This window comes from Homo sapiens, chromosome 6 (assembly GCF_000001405.40).
Source record: "Homo sapiens chromosome 6, GRCh38.p14 Primary Assembly".
In the NCBI taxonomy this organism is placed as follows: Eukaryota; Metazoa; Chordata; class Mammalia; order Primates; family Hominidae; genus Homo; species Homo sapiens.
In genome coordinates this window covers 12455160-12456857 of record NC_000006.12, presented here as the reverse complement: position 1 = coordinate 12456857, position 1698 = coordinate 12455160, and the positions used below count along the sequence as shown (strand labels likewise).

Below are 1698 nucleotides of genomic sequence, written 5' to 3'. Positions count from 1 at the left end.
TATTAATATCTGAACAGAGACTAATGGCTGGACGTTGAAGAAATATAATTGTGAGACAGTGTCATTATATCTGATGAGGTAAGTGAAAAGCTGAAGGAATTAGGATATCCTCAGTCTGCATACTATAGAAGAGTTAGTTCTTTTGAAAGGATCGTCTAATTTAGGCAAATTCAATATACAAGTAAGATTTCTCATTTCTGAAACAATGCCTGGTAAGGAGTAGGTGCTCAATAAATATTTGTTATTTCATGATTCCTGCACTGGAGGGAGGCGTCAGCCTGAGTATCCCTGACTGGATAGAAATGCGCATGCTCAGGCCACATGCTTCCTGCTTAATCGCTCCCACACTATTTCTTTAGAAGCAAACTTGAACTCAGCCCAAGGGCGGACTTGCTCTTCTCAAGTAACAGTGACAGAGCTGGCAGGGCGCGGTGGCTCACGCCTGTAATCCCAACACTTTCGGAGGCCAAGGTGGGCGAATCACGAGGTTAGGCGTTTGTGACCAGCCTGACCAACATGGTGAAACCCCGTCTGTACTAAAAATACAAAAATTAGCTGGGTGTTGGCGCATGCCTGTAATCCCAGCTACTCAGGAGGCTGAGGCAGGAGAATCACTTGAACCCGGGGAGGCCGAGGTTGCAGTGGGCCGAGATCGTGCCACTGCACTCCAGTCTGGGTGACGGTGCAAGACTCAGTCTCAAAAAAAAAAAAAAAAAAAAGTGACAGAGATCATATTAGATGAAGTGAAACGTGACAAAGGAGACTTCAGACCCTTATTCAAGTCCCTGGAAAGTCCCTGAAAGAGAGCGCCTCAAACCTTGAGAGCAAAATACTCTTCCCAGCCCTGGTTTGTCCATTGACACCATGAGGCAGAGCTTCTCTCTTGACGTCTGAGCTTCTCCAAGGGCTTTTCTCTCTGTGCTCCAGGCATCTGACCACCAGCTTCCATGGTGAAAACAGACGAAGCTCTACTTGTTCACCAGATATTCCTTCTTTTCACTTAACTGTTTTGCTTTTTTTTTCCCCCAACTCCTGACTTTAAGCTGAAAAACTGAGCAATCCATGTGAAAAAGCTGAATATTCAATTATATGAAAAATAAAAAGCATAAAATAACTTCGCTATTAATTTGGATCTGACAGTGTGTATTTTCCACACTCTTCAGGTGCAGAAGAAGCCAGTGCTGTGCATGTGTCATCTGCTCCACACCCAGGTGCAGATGGGGACAAGTGTTAGGACTTTGAGGAACGTAACCATAGGTGACAGGATCATAAACCAGTAGTCCTAGAAAAGGTGGCAGGTGAACCTGAAAAGAAAACTGTAATGTTCTTCTAAAGGAAGGATTTTCTATGCATAAAACTACTGACAAAAGTCACAAGGAAGTATGAGATTTGACAACATGAAAAAATTAACCCAGAAAATATCATAACAAAATTAATAAGCAAAGAGTAGACTTTAAAAAGTGTAACAACATGAAAATTAGCCAGTAGCAATACCCTTGACACATAAAGGACACTTACAAATCAGTTTTTAATAAGTAACTGTGAAAGTACACAGGTAGAGAGATGAACAGAGAGAGAGAGACAGATTAATCTTAGATCTATCTATCTATCTATCTATCTATCTATCTATCTATCTATCTATGTATCATCTCTCTATTTGTCTACCTACCTACCTACCTACCCATTTTAGGCCATTTG

General features: G+C 41.8%; 1 annotated feature.

Annotated features, from left to right (window-relative positions):
* Positions 247–541: an enhancer, noted in NCBI's record as "tiled region #4078; K562 Activating DNase matched - State 3:PromF". NCBI's record gives its function as "activates a minimal TATA promoter and a strong SV40 promoter by Sharpr-MPRA in K562 cells {active_cell/tissue: K562}" and the evidence as "EXISTENCE:reporter gene assay evidence [ECO:0000049][PMID:27701403]".